Below are 23,137 nucleotides of genomic sequence, written 5' to 3'. Positions count from 1 at the left end.
TTGTTTGTTTCTTTAATAATTTACATCTTAAATCCTTTATCATTTTTAGCTGTTCCGAGAAACAAGGCACATGTCTCTCTGCTACAGATTGAAACATAAAAATAATTTCTTCCACAAGTATCTTTTAGCCCTATTATACATACTCATAATATCCTGGCCCTATAGGGAGAATAAAGTATAATCTTTGCCCTTAGGGACCATATTATTTAGTTGAACATAAATAAATGATGTGAAAACTGCAGAATAATAACAAATTCAAACCCACTGGCTGACAGTTTTTCATTTCTTGACTTCGTGAATGTGTATGTCACCTCCTCCTCTGGAATATCTATCACAAAATGACAGTGTTTTGGTTCTGTGATCTGAAAGATGACTTACTGGAAAGAGCACGTGAAGAAAATGTGTTATATCATTCCTGATGAGTAAGGAAGCCAACTGAGGTTTTGAAGCATGCCTCACATAAAGGGCTTTGATGGGGTATAATTGTGGGTTTCACTGGTACCTGAGTAAACCCATGTAGATGATGACATCTCATGAAAAACACATGCTTCTTAGTCGATTTACTAGTGAAATAGTGTTGGGGGAATCCAGCCTATAGACAGTCCTCATGCTCAGCAGAAAAATGTTCTGACAATTAAAACAATTTTAATTTGAATCTTATTTTCTCATAGAAAAAGTGATGTGACAGAAAATGTTTATTCTAACTGGGGATCTGATGCCCAACATTTTATAGAAATTACCATAAACATTGTACTTAATTACATTTATTTTCAAGTGTAAGTGGCATGCTATTTAGTATAGAACTTAGATAGTATTTAAAAACTCGATGGCATTTTATTTATGCTAACACTATCTCATACTATACCAGAAGCTGCTTTTGTTTTCATGCATTCTACTTAAATTTTAGTAAAGCAAATCAGAGCAACTCTCATGGCACTTAATAGAATTCAAAAGAACTTTGTTCAGATTTTTACCATCTTCTTTGAAAGAAACTTTGGACTGGTTGATACATTTTTTAGAAACGGATTCAAGAATAATTTTCTTTCTGCTGGGCACAGTGGCTCACACCTGTAATCCCAACAGTTTGGGAGGCAGAGGTGGGAGGATTACGAGGTCAGGAGTTCAAGACCAGCCTGGCTAACATGTTGAAACCCTGTCTCTACTAAAAATACAAAAATTAGCCAAGCATGGTGGCATGTGCCTGTAATCCAGCTACTAAGGAGGCTGAGGCAGGAGAATCCCTTGAACCCAGGAGGCAGAGGTTGCAGTGAGCCGAGATCATGCCACTGTACCTCAGCCTGGGTGACAGAGTGAGACTCTGTCTCAAAAAAAAAATAAATAAATAATTATTTCTGTCATTTCTCTGATATTTTGTTGAAAAGGCTTTTTCCTCTAAACTACATAAACTAATCTGTTTTTTTTATGAACAGTAACTCTCTTAGCAATGGCAGAAAACTATGCCATTATAGATAGCTACAGTTGCAATCAGCTAGGTACCAATTACATTGCCCATCTGTTTCGTAATTGTTATTTACATTTCTTAGCAGAGATATTTCATGCTTTTCCTTTGCCTTTGATTTATTTGCACTGGTTTTTTTTCACCTGTAGATCACACTTTAGATCCCCAACGCTTTATTTTTATCTATCTATCTATCTATCTATCTATCTATCTATCTATCTATCTACCTACCTACCTACCTACCTATCTACTTATTTTTTGAGGCGGAGTTTTACTTGTCGCCTGGGCTGGAGTGCAGTGGTGCAATCTCAGCTCACTGCAACCTCCGCTTCCTGGGTTCAAGTGATTCTCCTGCCTCAGCATCCCGAGTAGCTGGGATTACAGGTGTCCGCCACCGTGCCGGCTAATTTTTGCATTTTTAGTAGAGACAGGGTTTCACCATGTTGGCTAGGCTCGTCTTGAACTCCTGGCCTCAGGTGATCCACCGCCTTGGCCTCAGCCTCCCAAAATGCTAGGATTATAGGTGTGAGCCACCACACCCAGCCAATCCCCAACACTTTATATAACAAGGTGTTATATAACAAGACTGAAAGCTTCAGTGCAAATGGCAGCCTTATTCAGATTTGCTATACTGTGAAAAAAAAAATCCTCTCTCAGCCTTCAAATCATAAAAATCACCTGATTAGAATGCAGTTTTTAATAGGATAAATGACTGTGAAGTGATGAGACCTCTCTTTGTATGATAGCACTGAGAAATTCAAACAAATCTTAACGGTCAGAGCAGCCAAGGCAGCCTATAAACTTAGGCTGGGCTTGGCCTGAAACCTGTTTGAAACTATTTTATTTGGTTTCTTCAGAGATGTTTTCATAGCCACATGAGTAAATTCGTTTTTTATGTTATGGTGATAGGACAAAGAGAACGATATTAGTCAAAGGGGGAGTGAGCTGTCTTCCTTGTCATATGGCTTAGCTCTGCCCCCTTCTCTTCATTCATGGCTGCTTAAGCTTCTGATGGATCCTGAAGGGAGTAGATAAACTTGCCTTGTGGCTTTGGAGCCATCACATTTGATCTATGGGCCTACTCCCCTCTCCTCATCTATTGGGATGAATGTTAGTAGTGATCTACTTGTGAGACTTGGGTTTCCCAATAAGAAAATAATTAGGTGATCTCTCTCCCCACCCATCACCAAGAAATCAAAATAAATTAGAATCTTCCTTTCAGTATCTGAGAGTATTTAAAGGTGTTTTAAACCACTAGAGGGAGCCCATATTGTTCTGATTTCTGAAACCTGTAATGTTTAACAGCTTGATTTTATTGCCTATAGAAAAGGATCTCTCTAACCAATGACTGGATCACTACATCCATAACTGTAGTGTTCTCCCTTAGTTTGCATTTTTTCTTTTTTCCCAGTTTTTTTATTGTGGTAAAATATACATAATACAAAATTTACTGTCTTGACCATTTTAAGTGTACAATTCAGTGGTATTAAATACATTTATAATGTGCAACCACAGTAATCATCCACCTCTATAATTCTTTTCATCTTGTAAAACAGAAACTCTATACCCATTAAACAATAACTCCCTATTATCCCCTCCACCTAGCTCCTGGAAACAGCCCTTCTACTTTCTGTCTTTATGATTTTGACTATACTAGGTATCTGATATAAGTGGAGTCATATAGTACTTGTCTTTTTGTGACTGGCCTATTTCCCATAATGTCCTCAGGGTTTATCCATGCTGTAGCATGTCAGAATTCCCTTAGTTTTTAAGGCTGAATAATATTCCATTGCACGTACATACTGCATTTTGCTTATCCATTCATCTGTTGGTGAACACTTGTGATGCATCCACTTTTTAGCTGTTGCTTTACTTCATTTGTGTTGTTATAAAAGGAATACCTGAGGCTGGGTAACTTGTTTTTAAAAGAGGTTTATTTGGCTCATGGTTCTGCAGGCTGTACAAGAAGTGTGACACAAGCATCTCCATCTGGTGAGGGCCTCTGGCTGTTTCCACTTGTGGTGCAAGGTGAAGGGGAGCTGGTGTGTAGAGATCACATGGTGAGAGAGGAAGCAGGAGAAGCGGGGAGGTGCCAGGCTCTTTCTGACAACCAGCTCTGGCAGGAACTAATAGAGCGAGAAGTCACTCATTACAGCAAGGATGGCACCAAACCTTTCATGAGGAATCTGCCCCCATGACCCAAACACTGTCCACTAGGCACCATCTCCAATATCAGGGATCAGATTTCAACATGAGGTTTGGGGGAACAAATATACAAACTATAGCAGCTATTGTGAATAATGTTTTATAAACATAGGTATACATGTATCTCTTCAAGATGCTGGTTTCAGTTCTTTTAGATATATACCCAGAAGTGGAATTACTGGATCATATGGTAATTCTATTTTTAATTATTTGAGGAATTTCCATACTGTTTTGCATAGTGGTTGTACCATTTTACATTTCCACCAGCAATGCACAAGGATTCCAATTTCTCCGTATTCTCACCAACACTTGTTATTTTCTGGTTTTGTTTGTTTATAGTAGCCATCCTATGGGTGTGAGGTAAGGAGAAAAGTGGAAAATCACCAAACGGAGACCATCGTTGATACTGGTGTTCTTGTACTCTGTGGCTTAGAATAGGATGTGGGTGAAGTAATTGGAGACAGATCATTTTGATAGCTCCTTGGCTGGGGTCTGTGGCTATCCTCCTCCCCTTCTCCATAATACTCACTGTCATCTTCCACCACATTTCTTTCCACCAATCCCTGGACAGATTTAGTTCCATTCAGCAGAATATCAGTCATGTGTGGACATTATTATGCTGGGCTGTGTGGCAAAGTAGAAAGTGAATAATGAGCTGTCTTTCTTGTCAGGGTAACAATCTTAGTCTTCATTGCATCCAGGTAATGTGTTTTGGCCTCTTTCAACCTCTCTTCCCTTTGCTTTCCTCTGCCTCTCTACTAAGAAGCTTTGACCTCATGATTTCTCAGACCCCCTTCACTGCTTCAGATTCTCTAGATTTTTCATTTTGTGTTTTATTGTCTTTTTAAAGTATTGGGAATTTATAAGATTTTACACTTCCTGCTATAGTTTGGATGTTTGTCCCTCCAAACCTCATGTTGAAATATGATCTGTAATGTTGTGGTGCCTAATGGGCAGTGTTTGGGTCATGCGGGCAGATCCCTCATGAATGGCTTGGTGCCATCCTTGTGCTAACGAATGATTTCCCACTCTGTTAGTTCCTGCTGGAGCTGGTTGTTAAAGAGCCTGGTACCTCCCCTCCCTTTGCTTCCTCTCTTGCCATGTGACTGCATAGCTGGCTCCCCTTCACCTTCCATCATGAGTGGAAGCAGCCTGAGGCTCCCACCAGATGGAGATGCTGGTGCCATGCTTCTTGTACAGCCTGAAAAATCATGAGACAAATAAACCTCTTTTCTTTATAGATTACCCAGCCTCAGGTATTTCTTCATAGCTATACTAATGGACGATGGCATCTTCTGTTTCAGAATACAACTAATTTCTTCACTGAGAGATTTGAGTTGATTCAACTGTACGTACAGCGCCCTCCCCAGCCCTCTTACATACCTGTGTTATAAGATGGTCTGCCTTCCGTTTTTGTTGTTGTTGTTGTTGATCACCATTCTAGGTTGAGCTATAGGAAGTCATGTAGATGTCAAAGCTTATGGAGTCTTTCTAAACCTTCTAAGATTATGCCAACCCAATTCAGAGTATATACACTGATAAAGTAAGATATTTATTAGGATAATTTCTGTAATGGTTGTGTTTGTGCACTAAAGTGTCACTCAGGGTTGAAAAGGCAAATCGTGATTTCAGTCAATTACATTCAAGACTGGTTTTACTTTTAATACCTGCAGAGTTATAGCTTAGGACAGAAGCTTAAGAGATCATACCACCACATTTCACTGAGCCTAAGGTTAACTTCTCCCACATTTTAGTACCTCTGAAATTGAATGTATTTTACAGTGGATATCAGGGAGCTGCCATCGTCAACATGTGGACAAATTTGAATGTCAACACTGGGCCATTTCTGGTAGTGTGATTTGGCAACAGCAACTCCTCATGGTTTCAGTCAGTATAGAAAATGAATTCTGGGTGGGGCTATAAACCTTTCATTGACCCCTTTTGATAAGATCAGAAAAAGCACCAGCATGGAAGCTTGCAAATGGATGCCAGCTGCTTGGAAGGAAATCCTGGATAGAGTGGTGAAGCACTGTTTTAAGGACTGCTGCATCACCCACACTGCTGAGGCCACATAAGAGGATTTTGTATTGGAAAATTTGTGCATTGTCAACTCTGAGATAAAACTTGATTTAGAAGTCTTGGACTCTGAATGTTTAAAAGATCTAGTAGTACATGGGGCTGGGCGCAGTGGCTCACGCCTCTAATCCCAGCACTTTGGGAGGCCGGGCAGGTGGATCACCTGTGGTCAGGAGTTCAAGAGCAGCCCGGCCAACATGACGAAACCCTGTCTCTACTAAAAATACCAAAAACAAAAAACAAAAAAACAGCTAGGTGTGGTGGCATGCACCTGTAGTCCCAGCTACTCAGGAGGCTGAGACAGGAGAATCGCTTGAACCCAGGAGGCGGAGGTTGCAGTGAGCCGAGGTCACGCCACTGCACTCCAGCATGGGCGATAGAGTGAGTGAGACTCTGTCTCAAAAAAAAAAAAAAATCTAGTAGTACATTAACAAGCCTATATTTTGCTTATATTTTGTAGGTAGCACAGGAGTGATTATTAAAAAAAAATCTATCTAAAGAAGTTTTAAAAAGAGCCCTTCAAATTAGAATTCTAGGTAATAAGAACACTTTCTTTAATTATTTAATTGGCAGTATTTTTTTTTCTTGGTGGTATATGGGAGAATGGTGTGTCTTACGGTGTCTTACAGTTTTTGGTATCCTAGATTGTTGAAAGAATAATAGTGGGAAGTGTGGTTTGCCTGCATTTCTGAACTTCCTCTCTAGCACCCAGTTTTTGTACTGCTGCTGATCCTGGCTTCTGTGCCTTGCAAATGCCCTCTTCCCCTGCTCAATGCTCCTCCTGTCAGCCTACTTCCTATACTTCCTTTGATGCTCAATCTAAGACAGACTTCCTCTGCCAAACCCTCCCTAGTAAATACTTCCCCATCTAGAGCATTCAGTGTACTTCTATGGAGGTATATCATTTGAACTATACACTTGACTGTACATGGCTGTGGAAATGTTTTATATTTGTTTCATGACTGGGTTCCTCAACTGTAAAAGATTGTAAACTCTTTGTGATAGGGTCTCTGTACCCTATCACAAGTATCGTTTGATAAATACTTGCCGAGTTTATTTTCACTCTGCATTTGCCTGTGCCATTGTTAGAAATTTGAAGACACGTGAAAAACAAGGACAAACAGGGACAAACTGCCCCTCTCTCTAGTGGTTTCTCTACATGAGCCCTGGAACTGTGGTGGAGAAGGCTCAATGTAATCCCCAGGTTTTGGTGTGATTTTTAGCTTCTTCCTCAGTACTCACCACCACCTCAGGTAGTCGGGTCTGGGGACTTACCCCCAGTGCCCAAGCACCACAGCCTCAAGACTGTCGCATTGCAGAACCATTTGACAATGAACGATCATATATGTGTGTTTACCTTATATGCATATAGCAAGGATTAAATTATTTTATAGCACTGAGTACAAGAAATGTTATATCTTATTTTTCTGATTTTTATTCCCCTCTTACCCTACCTGCTGAAAAGGACAGTCCCATTCATATTTTGACTGCTCTTTGCTTCTCCCTGGGGATGCGCAAGAATAAGAGGGAGGATTATATTTTTTGAAAAACAAAGGACAGCATCAGTAAATCTCAGCTATAGTAAGCTGCATAGTCCAGACTACAAAGTAGAGGGAAGGGAATGGCTGGGTTTCCTCTGTGCTAAGCTTTGGACTTGGGATCTTTTAGGCAGGCTTTGAAAGCCACGGGAGGTGGTGTTTATTCCCTACTCTTCCCTCCATATGCCATCCCATCAGAGTTTCTGTTACTTTCTAGGACATGCTGGGGGCAGGTCTCTCCTATTGACACAATTGGTAGGTAACACTGCCATCAGGGATTGTCCTCCCAGGTTAGGTCACATCTGCCCTACTACACAGTTCTTCCCTCAATCAGCTGGATTTTGCAGGGGTGGAGGGCAGTTGGCTTGCCCGCTGAGTACCACCCATCTTCTGGGGAGGCATTAGAAATATCCAAGGTCAGAACAGCCAGTGGCTTCCCAAGAAGTGGGCAGGAAAACTCCCACTGTCTCCTTGCTGTACCTGCCAACAGCCAGTCAGTGGCCAAACCAAGCATCAAGTCTTATCCTGCTGCACATACACACTTTGTAGTGCAGAACAAGGCTTCAGTGATTCATACTTTTTAAAGAAATACATGAACAGAAAATTTGATGCTACTTACATCCTTTTAAAATAATTACCAGATTAATGCTTGATTCACAGCTGAGAATTTATTCTGATAGGAACACAGTATATGAGTCATTCCATATAAGAAGTACAGAGATGATGCAACAAAATTACAATTAAGCATCACCATTAAGATACATGCATGAGTTCCACTCTCAGGTCTTTTAAGTCCATGTTTAGAGTAGCTCAATTTGTACTGGCTTTTCCTTTCATATATCACAGCAAAAACAGTATCAAAAATATTGTATTTGAGGTGAATTAATAGAAATACAGAATAAAAATCTTTATTTCATAGAAATATGTAAATATATATCACAGAAATATACAAATCCCCCTCCATGCTGCTTCCCTCCCCCATGCAAACCACAGGCATAGGAAGGTTCTGTAGGAGGGCAGAGGGCATCTGGGAGGTGGTAGGGGCCCCTCCCTTCCCTCACTCCAGGGACTTAGGCTCCTCAGGATGTCTGTCTTAGGAACAGCTTCCCAAAGATTCAGTAGGGTGGATTCATTAACTAGCCTTAGATCCACCCTGCTGAGGGAACACAAGCCTGAAAGAGAGTTCCTTTCTCTACTTTTCTGGGACTGGAGTTTTCTGCAATCAGGAAAAACAGAGCAGAAAGTGTGTGCTGCTTGCCAGAGGTTGAAACTCTGAAGACAGTTCTCCCAAAGAAAGAGGAGGCAAAAGAAACATGTAAGGAGACAGGGTTATGTGACTAGGGGATACTTTTCTTTGTTTTGTAAACTATTAAAGTTTTCTATCTTTTCTCCTTAATTACAAAAGCATTACTCGCTTATTACAACCAGATAAAGATTATAGAGATTTCCTTCTGTGCACACGCTGACTTTTGTATGCTAGGTAAGTTTGCATGTGCCTCCTGTGGAGTAAGGAAGTAGGAATTACTCACACATTTACCCTCCAGTAGGTTTATTGTCTGCACTTAATTCAAAATCACAAAAATCTTTCGAAATGTGACAGAATAAGAAAAAGTGCTCACATATGTACTCTTCATCCCATCTACCAAAGAAAATTCTGCAATTGCTAACCCAGTCCCATCCCCTATCCCCATACTGCCAAGTAGGGTTGTTCTTTGTCTTTAAGGATGCAGTATATGAATATAGGAAATTCCATAGCTGGGGGAGGACATGGCCTAAATCACTGTGCATCATCAGGAACAGGAAGGAGCTTACATCACTGTACATCTTGAGGAACCAGGAAGGAGAAAGGGAGAAGAGAACAAAAATCAGAGGAGGATTTGAATTTTGGTTTGGACTTGGTTTAGTTGGGTGCTGTGGTTCAGGGGTGGGGGACAAAGGATAAGCTTCAGAGTGGTGAAGTGTGGAGAAAACTGGTGGGAAGAAAGGGGGAGACATGGTAAGTACCATGCAAAAAGTAAATAAAGAATAGAATAACCAGCTTGGGCAACATGACGAAACCTTGTCTCTGCCCCTGCTCCCCCACCCCCAAAAAATATATATATGTAAATTAGCAGGGTATTGTGGTGTGCCCCTGTAGTGCCAAGTAGTCGGGAGGCTGAGGTAGGAGGATTGCTTGAGCTTGGAAGATGGAGGTTGCAGAGAGCCAAGATCGTGCCACTGTGCTCAAGCCTGGGTGACAGAGCAAGAACCCGCCTCAAAAAAAAGAATAGAATTGTTCTTAAATTAGGTTTTGGTTTCTGATCTGTGCTTCTGAAATTTGACACTCCTTAGGAATAGACCACTAGGGTACCATGTTTGTCATGGCTACAATGGGGTTGCATATGTCAATATATACAGGTAAATAAATATATACCTTGCTCTTTGTAATGGCTACAGAATATTCCACATGGTCCAGCTTTTCTCCTGTCAGTAGGCATTCTGATTGTTTTCCGATATTTTGAGTTACCACCAGTGTAACTTTTCTATACACATACCCTTTTTCAATAGAGTATATATTCCTGAAAGCAGGATTGCTGGATCAAAGAGTAGGCACTACTTTTAATAGGTACAGTGAGATCATTTTCCCAAAAGTGTCCTGGTAACTTATTTATGAGAGCTCCATTTTCATATACCTTACTGTCTACTTGCTCTTAAAAATATTTTTCCTGGCCAGACGTGGTGGCTCATGCCTGTAATCCCAGCACTTTGGGAGGCCAAGGTGGTCAGATCATGAGGTCAGGAGATCGAGACCATCCTGGCTAACATGGTGAAACCCCGTCTCTACTAAAAATACAAAAAAAGTTAGCTAGGTGTGGTGGCAGGCACCTGTAGTCCCAGCTACTCGGGAGGCTGAGGCAGGAGAATGGTGTGAACCCAGGAGCAGAGGTTGCAGTGAGCCGAGATTGCGCCACTGCTCTCCAGCCTGGGGGACAGAGTGAGACTCCATCTCAAAAAAAAAAAATTTTTTTTTCACAAATTGGATAGGCAAAATGTTGTCTGAGGTGGCATTAGGTTCAATTTCCTGACCAGCATTGAGAAAGAATACTTTCTTATTATGTTCAATGGCCACTTGCCATGCCTCATCTGTGAAGCTGCCTACACATGACTTAAGCTCATTTTTCTTTTGAGTGTGGTTTATCTTCTTCTTGTGAATTTGCAGGAATTTTGTATTTTAAGTATATTAACTCTTTGGTCACATGTTACAAATATTTTCTTCTATCTGTTGTTTAGTATTTTTTGTCTCTGGCATATATCACATACATACTTTTTTCCATTTTTTATATAACCCAAGTGTATATTTTTCTTTGTTTCTCCTGGTGTCTTGTCTTGCTTAAGACTTCCAAATAATCCTCAAAATTTCTTGGTGGAGTTTTGAATTTTGTTTGCTATGTGTCTTATTTACATTTAGATGTTGAATTAATTTTGAAATTATTTTTGTTTTTTTAAAATTATTTTTGTTTTGAAGTAGGAGTCCAACTTCATATTTTCCAAAGAAATAGTCATTTATATCATTTATTAAACCGTCTTTTCCAGTAACCTAAAGTCCTACTTTTATCACGTTATTTTGAGATTCTCTTCTATTTCACTGACCTTTTTGTCTGTTTTTGAGCCAATCCATATTGTTTTGATTATAGTTGTTATAGTAAGTTTTAGTATTTGATAGGGCAAAATTTTTCCTAAAAATTTTCCTACTACAATTTTTCTCTAGAAATTTGTTGATAATTCTTTTATTTTTTTTATATAAACTTTAAAATTACTTAGTTCAGCTTCAACAAAATTCATTAGGCCCTGATTGAAATTGTGTTACATTTGTATATGAATTTTGGAAGGAATAACACTTTTGTGATGAGTTTGTCCTCCTAAAAACGTATTCACTGTCTCTGTCAATGACTTATTACATATCCTTCAATAAAATTTTTTAGTTCTTTCACATAAGCTCTGTACTTTCCTTGTTTTTCGTTGGTAATTCATTGCATTTATTTCTCTTGTAAATAGTATTTTTCTAATCAATCTTCATTTTTAACTAGTTCTTACTGCTATAAAGAAGAGCTTTTGAAAAATATGTCCCATAACTACTAAGCACTCTTATTAGTTATAATTGGTTGTTAGTTTTTCTTGGGTTCATACTCATAGCTGCAAATGAGGATAATGTTTTCTTTTTTCTGCTAATACTCATACTATTTATTTATTTATTCATTCTATTTTTTATTTTTTGAGATGGAGTTTCGCTCTTGTTGCCCAGGCTAGAGTGCAATGGCGCAATCTCAGCTCACTGCAACCTCCGCCTCCTGGGTTCAAGCAATTCTCCTGCCTCAGCCGCCTGAGTAGCTGGGATTACAGGCGTCTGCCACCATGCCCAGCCAATGTTGTATTTGTAGTACAGACGGGGTTTCACCATGTTGGCCAGGCTGGTCCCGAACCCCTGACTTCAGGTGATCCGCCTGCCTCAGCCTCCCAAAGTGCTGAGATTACAGGCGTGAGCCACCACGTCTGGCCACTTATACTAATTATTTTATGTTTGCTCTTATTGCATTAGCTAGGGCCTCAAAAACAATATTGAAAACATCTCTGTCTTAGTCTTTACTTGAATAGTGATAGCCTTATTATTTCACCATGTAATAAATTGTTTGCAGGCTGGGAGTGGTGGCTTATGCCTGTAATGCCAGCACTTTGGGAGGTAGAAGTGGGAGGATTGCTTAATGCCAGGAGTTCAAGACTAGCCTAGACAACAAAGCAAGACCCCATCTCTGTGAAAAAATGGAAAATTAGCCTAGTGTGGTGGTATGTGCCTGTAGTACTAGCTACTCAGGAGATTGAGGCAGGAGGATCACCTGAATCCAGGATTTGGAGATTACAGTGAGCTGTGATCATGCTACTGCACTCCAGCCTGGGTGACAGAATGAGACTTGTGTCTTAAGTTGTTTGCTGTGGGTTTGTAATAAATGATTTTTATTTAAGTATATTTTTCTACTTTTATTTTAGATCATTTTCTGTTTGTTTATCTTAATTGGGAATAACTATTGTATAGCAAGTGCTTTTTTAACCTTTATGTTTTTTTAACCTTAAATTATTTTTTATTGTGTTTCTTACCTCATTCAAGAGCTAATGGTCCTTTTTTGTGGAAATGTGGTAGCCTGTTTAGTTGCCATTATTTTAAATACTTTCAATAAATAAATGGCATATTAAATAAATTGTCTGATGTCCTGAAGAACAGGCATTATCAACTGTTTGAAGCATCAATTTTTTTTTTTTAAATTATACTTTAAGTTCTGGGTTACATGTGCAGAACATGCACTTTTGTTACGTAGGTATAAATGTGCCATGGTGCTATCAACCTGTCACCTACATTAGGTGTTTCTCCTAATGGTTTCCCTCCCCTAGCCCCCCATGCCCCACAGGCTCTGGTGTGTGATGTCGCCCTCCCTGTGTCCATGTGTTCTCATTGTTCAACTCCCACTTATGAGTGAGAACACACGGTGTTTGGTTTTCTGATCTTGTGATAGTTTACTGAGAACGATGGCTTCCTTTCCCTGCAAAGGACATGAACTCATCCTTTTTTATGGCTGCATAGTATTCCATGGTGTATATGTGCCACATTTTCTTCATCCAGTCTATCATTGATGGACATTTGGGTTGGTTCCAAGTCTTTGCTATTGTGAATAGTGCCGTAATAAACATACATGTGCATGTGTCTTTATAGTACAATGATTTGTAATCCTTTGGGCATATGCCCAGTAATGGGATGGCTGGGTCAAATGGTATTTCTAGTTCTAGATCCTTGAGGAATCGCCACACTGTCTTCCACAATGGTTGAACTAATTTACACTCCCACCGACAGTGTAAAAGTGTACTTATTTTTCCACAGGCTGTCCAGCATCTGTTGTTTCATGACTTTTTAATGACCACCATTCTAACTGGCATGAGATAGTATCTCATTGTGGTTTTGATTTGCATTTCTCTAATGACCAGTGATGATTAGCATTTTTTCATATGTCTGTTCACCGCATAAATGTCTTTTTTTGAGAAGTGTCTGTTCATATCCTTTGCCCATTTTTTGATGGGGTTGTTTGCCTTTTTCTTGTAAATTTAAGTTCTTTGTAGATTCTGGATATTAGCCCTTTGTCAGATGGAAAGATTGCAAAAATATTCTCCCATTCTGTAGGTTGCGTGTTGACTCTGATGATAGTTTATTTTGCTGTGCAGAAGCTCTTTAGTTTAATTAGATCCCATTTGTCAATTTTGGCTTTTGTTGCCACTGCTTTTGGTGTTATACACATGAAGTCTTTGCCCATGCCTATGTCCTGAATGGTATTGGACAGGTTTTCTTCTAGGATTTTTCTGGTCCTAGGTCTTACGTTTAAGTCTTTGATCCATCTTGAGTTGATTTTTGTATAAGGTGTAAGGAAGGGGTCCAGTTTCAGTTTTCTTCATATGGCTAGCCAGTTTTCCCAACACCATTTATTAAACAGGGAATCTTTTCTCCACTGCTTGTGTGTGTCAGGTTTGTCAAAGATCAGATGGTGGTAGATGTGTGGTGTTATTTCTGAGGCCTCTGGTTTTTTCTGAGGTGTTCTGGTTTTTGGAATTTTCAGCCTTTCTGCTCGGTTTCTCCCCATCTTTGTGGTTTTATCTACCTTTGGTCTTTGAGGTTGGTGACCTCAGTTGGAAATGCAGAAATCACTCATCTTCTGCTTTGATCTCTCTGGGAGCTGTAGACCGGAGCTGTTCCTATTTGGCCATCTTCCAACCTTTATGTTTTAATTTATGGTTATCTTTTCACTTAAAAACGTAATAAATTATGTTGATAGTGTTGCTAATTTTAAGCTATCTCTGCATTCCTGAAATAAACCATGTTATATTATTATATTATATCATATTCTGTATATTTTTCTGTTAATTTGTTACTGGTGGTGAATCCATATGGGTTTGCAGCAACTTCAGTTCTTGCCTCTTCAGAAGGATTTGACCAAGGGGTAAGGCAGAAGGAGAGACCGAGGCAAGTTTTAGAGCAGGAGTTAAAGTTTACTAAAAAGCTTTAGAGTGGGAATGAAAGGAAGTACAGTACACTTGGTGGAAGAGGTCCAAGCAGGTGACTTGTGAGATGGAGTGTGCAGTTTGACCTTTGACTTAAGGGTTGTTTGTTGTTTTTTCTTGGAGATGGAGTTTTACTCTATCCCCCAGGCTGGAGTGCAATGGCGCAATCTTGGCTCACTGCAGCCCCCACCTCCCTGGTTCAAGCGATTCTCGTGCCGCAGCCTCCTTAGTAGCTGGGATTACAGGTGCCTGCCACTACGCCTGGCTAATTTTTGCATTTTTAGTAGAGATGGGGTTTCGCCATGTTGGCCAGGCTGGTCTCGAACTTCTGACCTCAAGTCATCTGCCTGCCTCAGCCTCCCAAAGTGCTGGGATTACAGGCATGAGGCCACTGTGTCTGGCCTGACTTAGGGTTTTGTATGTTGGCATACTTCCAGGGTCTTGGATTCCTTCTGATTCTTCGCTTGAGGTGAGATGTCCACATGCACAGCAGCCTACTAGTGCTTGGGAGATGAGCATGCACAGTGTGTTTACTGGAGTTGTACGCATGCTCACTTGAGGTCCTTACCAGTCAAATGTCCCTGGAAGGTCATATGCCATTTAAACCCCGCCCCCCTGCCATTCTGCCTCTTAATATGCATGCCTGAGCCCACTTGTCCAACTCCTGAGATCTTATCGGGAAGCTGCTGCTCACCAGTTTCAGGTGTTCTCTATCTATTAGGAGACTGCCTTTCCCTGGCACCGGCTGTGGCCAATTATTATTTTAGAAAGAGAGTCAGCAACCGCCTGACCATCACCTGATGGTCACCTGACATTCCAGGTGTGTGTGTGGGGGTGGTGCTGGGAGCACCCTTCTGCCCTCCTCATGCCTGACTAACTACCTACTGTAACAAATTCACTTCTGGGTTCTATTTGCCGGTACTTGATTTAGAATCTTTGCATCAATATTTGTAAGTGAAATTGGTTTCTGTTTTTCTTTGTCATACTTTGGTATTAAGTGTGTTCCGGCTTTTTAGAATGAATTAGGAGGAGCCTTCCATCTTTTTCTATGGTCTAGACCAGTTTGAGTACATAGCAAGTATCTGTTCTGTGATGATGCCTACTGCTCTATATTAATAAGGCTGTGGAGTATTACTGAGTTTTTAATCTTCACTATTATGATCTTAAAATATGACCTTGTTTTAAAAGGAGTCCTCTAAAATACTTTTCTTCCCCCTCTTCCAAGTTGCCAGGTTTTTGGTTATCTCATTGTTTTGCTTTTTATTTCACTTGTGTTTAGATAAAAAGTTTTTAAATTTCACATTTTTAGGCTGGAAACTTATTGCAACAGGAGGGAATATTTAGAGAGGAGAGGAACACACACACCATGCAAGACTTTTGTTGTGGCGTAGTTGGAGATCTGAGAAGGGGAAGGAAACTGGATTTATCAGAAAGAGGGAGGCCAGGGCTAAATGTCAAAGCCTGGCTGTAGCCCTGTCTCCTATAAGCTGAGTGACTTTACGTAAGCCTTCTCTGACTTCAGGCTGTTTTTCCATCATCCATGTATCACGTTGAGAACGGCCTGATGTAATTGCTGTGAGGATCAGAAGAAATAATATTCAAGGACTTCTGAACCCTTAAGGCATTATTTTGATGCAAAGGATACTGTTACAGGCTTATTCTTTTCCAGTGATTCGTTATAACAGAATACTTCTTCAGTGAAAGGAGATTTTTATTTGTAAATGTTTAGATAGTTGTTGATTTTTGTAAGATAGTTTTTTTTTTCTTAAATCAGGGCCTCTAATGGTCATGAGATAAAAAACAGGTTTTAAATTTTACCCCTTGTTTTTTTCACCAGGCAAAGAGACTGTTTTGTAGCAAACTAGTCTTCTAGCTCAAAGAAAAGAAAAGAGAAATATTTTTTTCTGCCATGCACTTTCAATACCAGTTAATTGAACTATATGTTCTGAGCACCTGAAATGAAATTATTGACGAATTCATTCTGTCTAACTGTGTAATCTCCTAGTCTTATTGTGAAAACTTGCTGCATCCTCTTGTGCCCCTTGTGTCTTCCTTCACTGGTCACCCTAAGGGCCAAGGGAGAGCTTTCCCCTTGGCCCTCTAAAGGTTCACTGAAAAATCAACTTGCAAAAGGCAGATTAATAGGAGAAAAGGCGGATTTATTTAACGTGTACATGGGAACTTTCAGAATGAAGATCCAACCCCTCAGTAAGGTACAGAAGCTTATATACCACCTTAAGGTTATAAAAATAATGCAGGCTCAGAGAGTGGCCAAAAACAGATTTTTTTTTAATTTTTATTTTTTATTATACTATTATACTTTAAGTTTTAGGGTACATGTGCACATTGTGCAGGTTAGTTACATATGTATACATGTGCCATGCTGGTGCACTGCACCCACTAACTCCTCATCTAGCATTAGGTATATCTCCCAATGCTATCCCTCCCCCCTCCCCCCACCCCACAACAGTCCCCAGAGTGTGATATTCCCCTTCCTGTGTCCAGGTGATCTCATTGTTCAATTCCCACCTATGCGTGAGAATATGCGGTGTTTGGTTTTTTGTTCTTGTGATAGTTTACTGAGAATGATGTTTTCCAATTTCATCCATGTCCCTACAAAGGACATGAACTCATCATTTTTTATGGCTGCATAGTATTCCATGGTGTATATGTGCCACATTTTCTTAATCCAGTCTATCATTGTTGGACATTTGGCTTGGTTCCAAGTCTTTGCTATTGTGAATAATGCCACAATAAACATATGTGTGCATGTGTCTTTATAGGAGCATGATTTATAGTCCTTTGGGTATATACCCAGTAATGGGATGGCTGGGTCAAATGGTATTTCCAGTTCTAGATCCCTGAGGAATCGCCACACCAACTTCCACAATGGTTGAACTAGTTTACAGTCCCACCAACAGTGTAAAAGTGTTCCTATTTCTCCACATCCTCTCCAGCACCTGTTGTTTCCTGACTTTTTAATGATTGCCATTCTAACTGGTGTGAGATGGTATCTCATTGTGGTTTTGATTTGCATTTCTCTGATGGCCAGTGATGATGAGCATTTTTTCATGTGTCTTTTGGCTGCATAAATGTCTTCTTTTGAGAAGTATCTGTTCATGTCCTTCGCCCACTTTTTGATGGGGTTGTTTGTTTTTTTCTTGTAAATTTGTTTGAGTTCATTGTAGATTCTGGATATTAGCCCTTTGTCAGATGAGTAGGTTGCGAAAATTTTCTCCCATTTTGTAGGTTGCCTGTTCACTCTGATGGTAGGTTCTTTTGCTGTGCAGAAGCTCTTTAGTTTAATTAGATCCCATTTGTCAATTTTGTCTTTTGTTGCCATTGCTTTTGGTGTTTTAGACATGAAGTCCTTGCCCATGCCTATGTCCTGAATGGTAATGCCTAGGTTTTCTTCTAGGGTTTTTATGGTTTTAGGTCTAACGTTTGAGTCTTTAATCCATCTTGAATTGATTTTTGTATAAGGTGTAAGGAAGGGATCCAGTTTCAGCTTTCTACATATGGCTAGCCAGTTTTCCCAGCACCATTTATTAAATAGGGAATCCTTTCCCCATTGCTTGTTTTTGTCAGGTTTTTCAAAGATCAGATAGTTGTAGATACGCGGCGTTATTTGTGAGGGCTCTGTTCTGTTCCATTGATCTATATCTCTGTTTTGGTACCAGTACCATGCTGTTTTGGTTACTGTAGCCTTGTAGTATAGTTTGAAGTCAGGTAGTGTGATGCCTCCAGCTTTGTTCTTTTGGCTTAGGATTGACTTGGCGATGCGGGCTCTTTTTTGGTTCCATATGAACTTTTGAACTGAAGGAAATAGAGACACAAGAGACACAAAAAACCCTTCGAAAAATTAATGAATCCAGGAGCTGGTTTTTTGAAAGGATCAACAAAATTGATAGACCACTAGCAAGACTAATAAAGAAAAAAAGAGAGAAGAATCTAATAGATGCAATAAAAAATGATAAAGGGGATATCACCACCGATCCCACAGAAATACAAACTACCCTCAGAGAATACTACAAACACCTCTACGCAAATAAACTAGAAAATCTAGAAGAAATGGATAAATTCCTCGACACATACACTCTCCCAAGACTAAACCAGGAAGAAGTTGAATCTCTGAATAGACCAATAACAGGAGCTGAAATTGTGGCAATAATCAATAGCTTACCAACCAAAAAGAGTCCAGGACCAGATGGATTCACAGCTGAATTCTACCAGAAGTACAAGGAGGAACTGGTACCATTCCTTCTGAAACTATTCCAATCAATAGAAAAAGAGGGAATCCTCCCTAACTCATTTTATGAGGCCAGCATCATTCTGATACCAAAGTCAGGCAGGGACACAACCAAAAAAGAGAATTTTAGACCAATATCCTTGATGAACATTGATGCAAAAATCCTCAATAAAATACTGGCAAAACGAATCCAGCAGCACATCAAAAAGCTTATCCACCGTGATCAAGTGGGCTTCATCCCTGGGATGCAAGGCTGGTTCAATATACGCAAATCAATAAATGTAATCCAGCATATAAACAGAGCCAAAGACAAAAACCACATGATTATCTCAATAGATGCAGAAAAAGCCTTTGACAAAATTCAACAACCCTTCATGCTAAAAACTCTCAATAAATTAGGTATTGATGGGACGTATTTCAAAATAATAAGAGCTATCTATGACAAACCCACAGCCAATATCATACTGAATGGGCAAAAACTGGAAGCATTCCCTTTGAAAACTGGCACAAGACAGGGATGCCCTCTCTCACCACTCCTATTCAACATAGTGTTGGAAGTTCTGGCCAGGGCCATTAGGCAGGAGAAGGAAATAAAGGGTATTCAATTAGTAAAAGAGGAAGTCACATTGTCCCTGTTTGCAGACGACATGATTGTATATCTAGAAAACCCCATTGTCTCAGCCCAAAATCTCCTTAAGCTGATAAGCAACTTCAGCAAAGTCTCAGGATACAAAATCAATGTACAAAAATCACAAGCATTCTTATACACCAACAACAGACAGAGAGCCAAATCAGGAGTGAACTCCCATTCACAATTGCTTCAAAGAGAATAAAATACCTAGGAATCCAACTTACAAGGGATGTGAAGGACTTCTTCAAGGAGAACTACAAACCACTGCTCAAGGAAATAAAAGAGGATACAAACAAATGGAAGAACATTCCATGCTCATGGGTAGGAAGAATCAATATTGTGAAAATGGCCATACTGCCCAAGGTAATTTACAGATTCAATGCCATCCCCATCAAGCTACCAATGCCTTTCTTCACAGAATTGGAAAAAACTACTTTAAAGTTCATATGGAACCAAAAACAGATTTTAATGGCAAGACAGGTTATAGGGGAGAGAATAAAGGAGGCTTGACTAGCAAAAGTGGCCTTGTTATGTACATGAAGCCTCATAGCTAGAGGCCCTCAGAGAGAATAGATAGTAAACGTGTCTTTTCAGACTTGTAAAGGTGTCAGACTCAATCTCTCCCAGATCTGTGAAAGGCCTAGAAAGGGAAGCCCTGGCTGCATTAATGGAGATTCTCTACAGATGCAAATTTGCCCAACAAGAGACAGCTTTGCAAGGCCACTTCTGTCTGCTGGCCCTGTGGCAGCCATTTCAAAATGTGTCAAGGAAATATACTTTGGGGTAAAATATTTTTATTTTCTTCAAGTGCAATTAACTGTAAAGACATAAACTGTACCTTTTGCGGGTGGCGGTGAGCGCGGAGAGGACGCCATGAAGGTCTTGGGCACACTACGAGAGTACAAGGTGGTGGGTCGCTGCCTGCACACCCCGGAATGCCACACACTGCCCCACTACCACATGCAAATCTTTGCGCCTAATCATTTGTCAACAGGTCCCACTTCTGGTACTTCGTATCTCAGTTAAAGACAAAGAAGGCTTCAGGGGAGATTGTCTACTGTGGGCAGGTGTTTGAGAAGCCCCCACTGCGGGTGAAGAACTTCGACAGCTGGCTGCGCTAATGTTACTGGGGGTCCTTGCTCCCAGAGCTCCCAAGATGGTGGCGGGCTGCTTCCAAGATGGTGGCAAGCCTTGTCTTCTCTGACCTGGGGTTCTTGGCCTCACGGATTCCAAGGAATGCAATCTTGGGCCATGCGGTGAGTGTTATAGCTCTATTAGAAGTCGTGGGTCACGGAAGAGAACCTTGGAACCCAGTGACTAGTGTTGAGCTGGATTAGGACAAACCCGTGCAGGAACAATGGCAAGTCTTTAGCCCGATCAGGAGCGGCAATGGGCGCCTCCCTGGATGGGGAGCACAGCGGACACCCTGTCGGATCCGGAGGTATGGAAGTCAGCAGCGGGTCTGCGACGGTGGCAAAGGGCGGCAAACAGCAGCTAGTCCTGCCTCTCACTATGACTCCCGGAGCTGCACCTACAACATGTACCGGCAATACCGGTACCTGACCACCGCAGGCGCTGTCACCCAGTGCTACCGCGCCAGGGCCCACTCCATCCAGATCACTCCACCAGATGAAGGTGGAGGTGATCGCAGCCAGCAAGTGCCGCCGGCCGGCTGTCAAGCAGTTCCACGACTCCAAGATCAAGTTCCTGCTGCCCCACCGGGTCCTGAGCCGTCAGCACAAGCCACGCCTCACCACCAAGAGGCCCAACACCTTCTTCTAGGTGCAGGGCCCTTGCCTGGGTGGGCCCCAAATAAACTCAGGAACGCCCCGGTGAAAAAAAAAAGACATAAACTGTAAATGCTTAGACAATTGGTCATGCCTGTTGGCGGAGAACACAGCCCCGCCTCCATGATGTAAACCAAAAATAAAATCCTAAGTCCCCCCACCAACTGAATGGACCCTCTCTTGGCCAAGAAGACCTCAGAGAAACCTGAAAAACTGTGTTCTTGGCCATGATGGGAAGAGAGGTTAGACATACCTCGTTATACCCCCTCCCTTTTGGAGTTTAGGCACAACTGACTAGCACTAACATTGAAATAGAGATTATTAGACTGATAAAATAGACTTTGTTGCCACAAAGAGTGGCACATAAGATAGCAAATTCCAAACTGATTCTGGTGTAGCATCACATGACAGCAGACCCTGAAGGCGATAGAAATATTTTACCCCAAAAATATATTTCTTTGACATATTTTGAAATTACCCTGCAAAACTGTCTCTTGTGGGGGGAATTTGCATCTGTAGAGATATCTCCATTAATGTGGCCAAGCCTTCCCTTTCTAGGTCTTTCTGGGATCTAGAGGAGATTAAATGAGTTTGTCACCTTTAAGATCTGAAAAGAGACATTTACCATCTATGTTCTCTGAAAGCTGCTACCTGGAGGCTTCATCTGCATAACAAGAACCTTGGTCTGGCTGGGCCTCTGTAGCTCACACCCATAATCCCAGCACTTTAGGAGGCTGAGTGGGCTGTAGCTCACACCTGTAATCCCAGCACTTTGGGAGGCTGAGGTGGGCAGATCGCTTGAGCCCAGGAGATTGAGACCAGCCTGGGCAACATGGTGAAACCCCATCTCTACAAACAAACAAAAAACCCAGGCATAGTGGTGTGTGCCTGCAGCCCTAGCTACTCGGGAGGCTGAGGTGGGAGGATCATTGAGTCTGGGAGGTTGAGGCTGCAGTGAGTTGTGATTGCACCACTGCACTCCAGCCTGGGCAATAGAATGAGACCCTGTATCAAATAATAATAGTAAAGAGCCTTGGTGTCCACAGCCCTCCTTAACTTAACTCAGGCATTTCTTTTGTCTTTAAACAAAGCTTAATTCTTTCAACCAATTGCTAATCAGAAAATGTTGGAATCCACCTATGACCTGTAAGCCCCTGTTTCAAGGTATCCTACCTCTTTAGGATGAACCAATGTACACCTTCCATGTATTGATTTACGTTTTTGCTTGTAACTTCTGTCTCCCTAAAATGTATAAAACCAAACTAACCCAACCACCTCAAGCACACCGTTTCAGGACATCTTGAAACTGAACACTGGGCCATGGTCACTCATATTGGCTCAGGATAAACCTCTTGAGATATTTTACAGAGTTTTGTTTTTCTGTTAACATTTATCAATCATGTGGGTAGTGTTGACTTACGAATCTTTTGAGCAATGTGAGGTGCTGAGGCAATTGATTTTAGTCTTTTGTGTCTATTGCATGGTTAGGAACCAGACCAAGTGTTACGTGTTACCCCAGAGGCATGGACATGAACTGTTACTTTTGAGTCTATTTCTAGCAGCTTGGCTCCTCTGATGAGATACCATTTTACAATGCAAATGGAAAGAACAAAAAACACACCACCTGAAGACAAAAATTGTAAGGTCACCAAAACTCTATAAAAATGTCCCATTACTAAACTTATGAGTAAAAGGTTTAAGGGCTGGAAGCAGATCTTTTTTACTCTTGCTAGAGTTACGCAGGAAGTCATTATTTCCACAGGAAATAAACAAAGACATTTTCTTAAAAACGAATGATCATCTTGTTGAATTCCTGCCTTGTGGCATTTGATGCTGACCATCCATCCATGTCCCAGAGCACAGGAAGCTTATAGCATAAAATCATTAGTTAGAGAAGATATCATTAATTCTTAAACATGACCAAAAATTGAATCTTTTAAGAGACAAATTTAATAAACATTCTCTTTCTTTACGATCCATGGCCTTTTTCATGGATTGCCTACCCATTATGAGTTTCTCCTGGAGATTGGCCCTCCTCCCTCAGCTGACTGCAAGGGTACAGCTTTGCTCCTGGTGGGGACTGTGTCCCCATCCCTGCCCTGTACCCTGCCCTGTACC

General features: G+C 40.9%; 1 protein-coding gene and 1 pseudogene across 17 annotated transcripts in view, besides 1 other annotated feature; both read left to right on the top strand.

The window, feature by feature from the left end:
• ANO10 (anoctamin 10) overlaps nt 1–23,137 on the top strand; it is a 325,747-nt gene that overhangs the window by 185,609 nt on the left and 117,001 nt on the right. The window lies entirely within an intron of this gene.
• Nucleotides 14,626–15,126: an enhancer, noted in NCBI's record as "H3K27ac hESC enhancer chr3:43532352-43532852 (GRCh37/hg19 assembly coordinates)". NCBI's record gives its function as "activates a minimal SCP1, AML or CMV promoter by ChIP-STARR-seq in naive H9 embryonic stem cells {active_cell/tissue: H9 hESC(naive)}" and the evidence as "EXISTENCE:reporter gene assay evidence [ECO:0000049][PMID:30033119]".
• On the top strand, nt 20,070–21,067 carry RPL18AP9 (ribosomal protein L18a pseudogene 9; annotated as a pseudogene).

This window comes from Homo sapiens, chromosome 3 (assembly GCF_000001405.40).
Source record: "Homo sapiens chromosome 3, GRCh38.p14 Primary Assembly".
Lineage (NCBI taxonomy): Eukaryota > Metazoa > Chordata > Mammalia > Primates > Hominidae > Homo > Homo sapiens.
The sequence above is the reverse complement of the archived record's forward strand: the minus strand, read 5'-3'. Positions and strand labels throughout refer to the sequence as shown.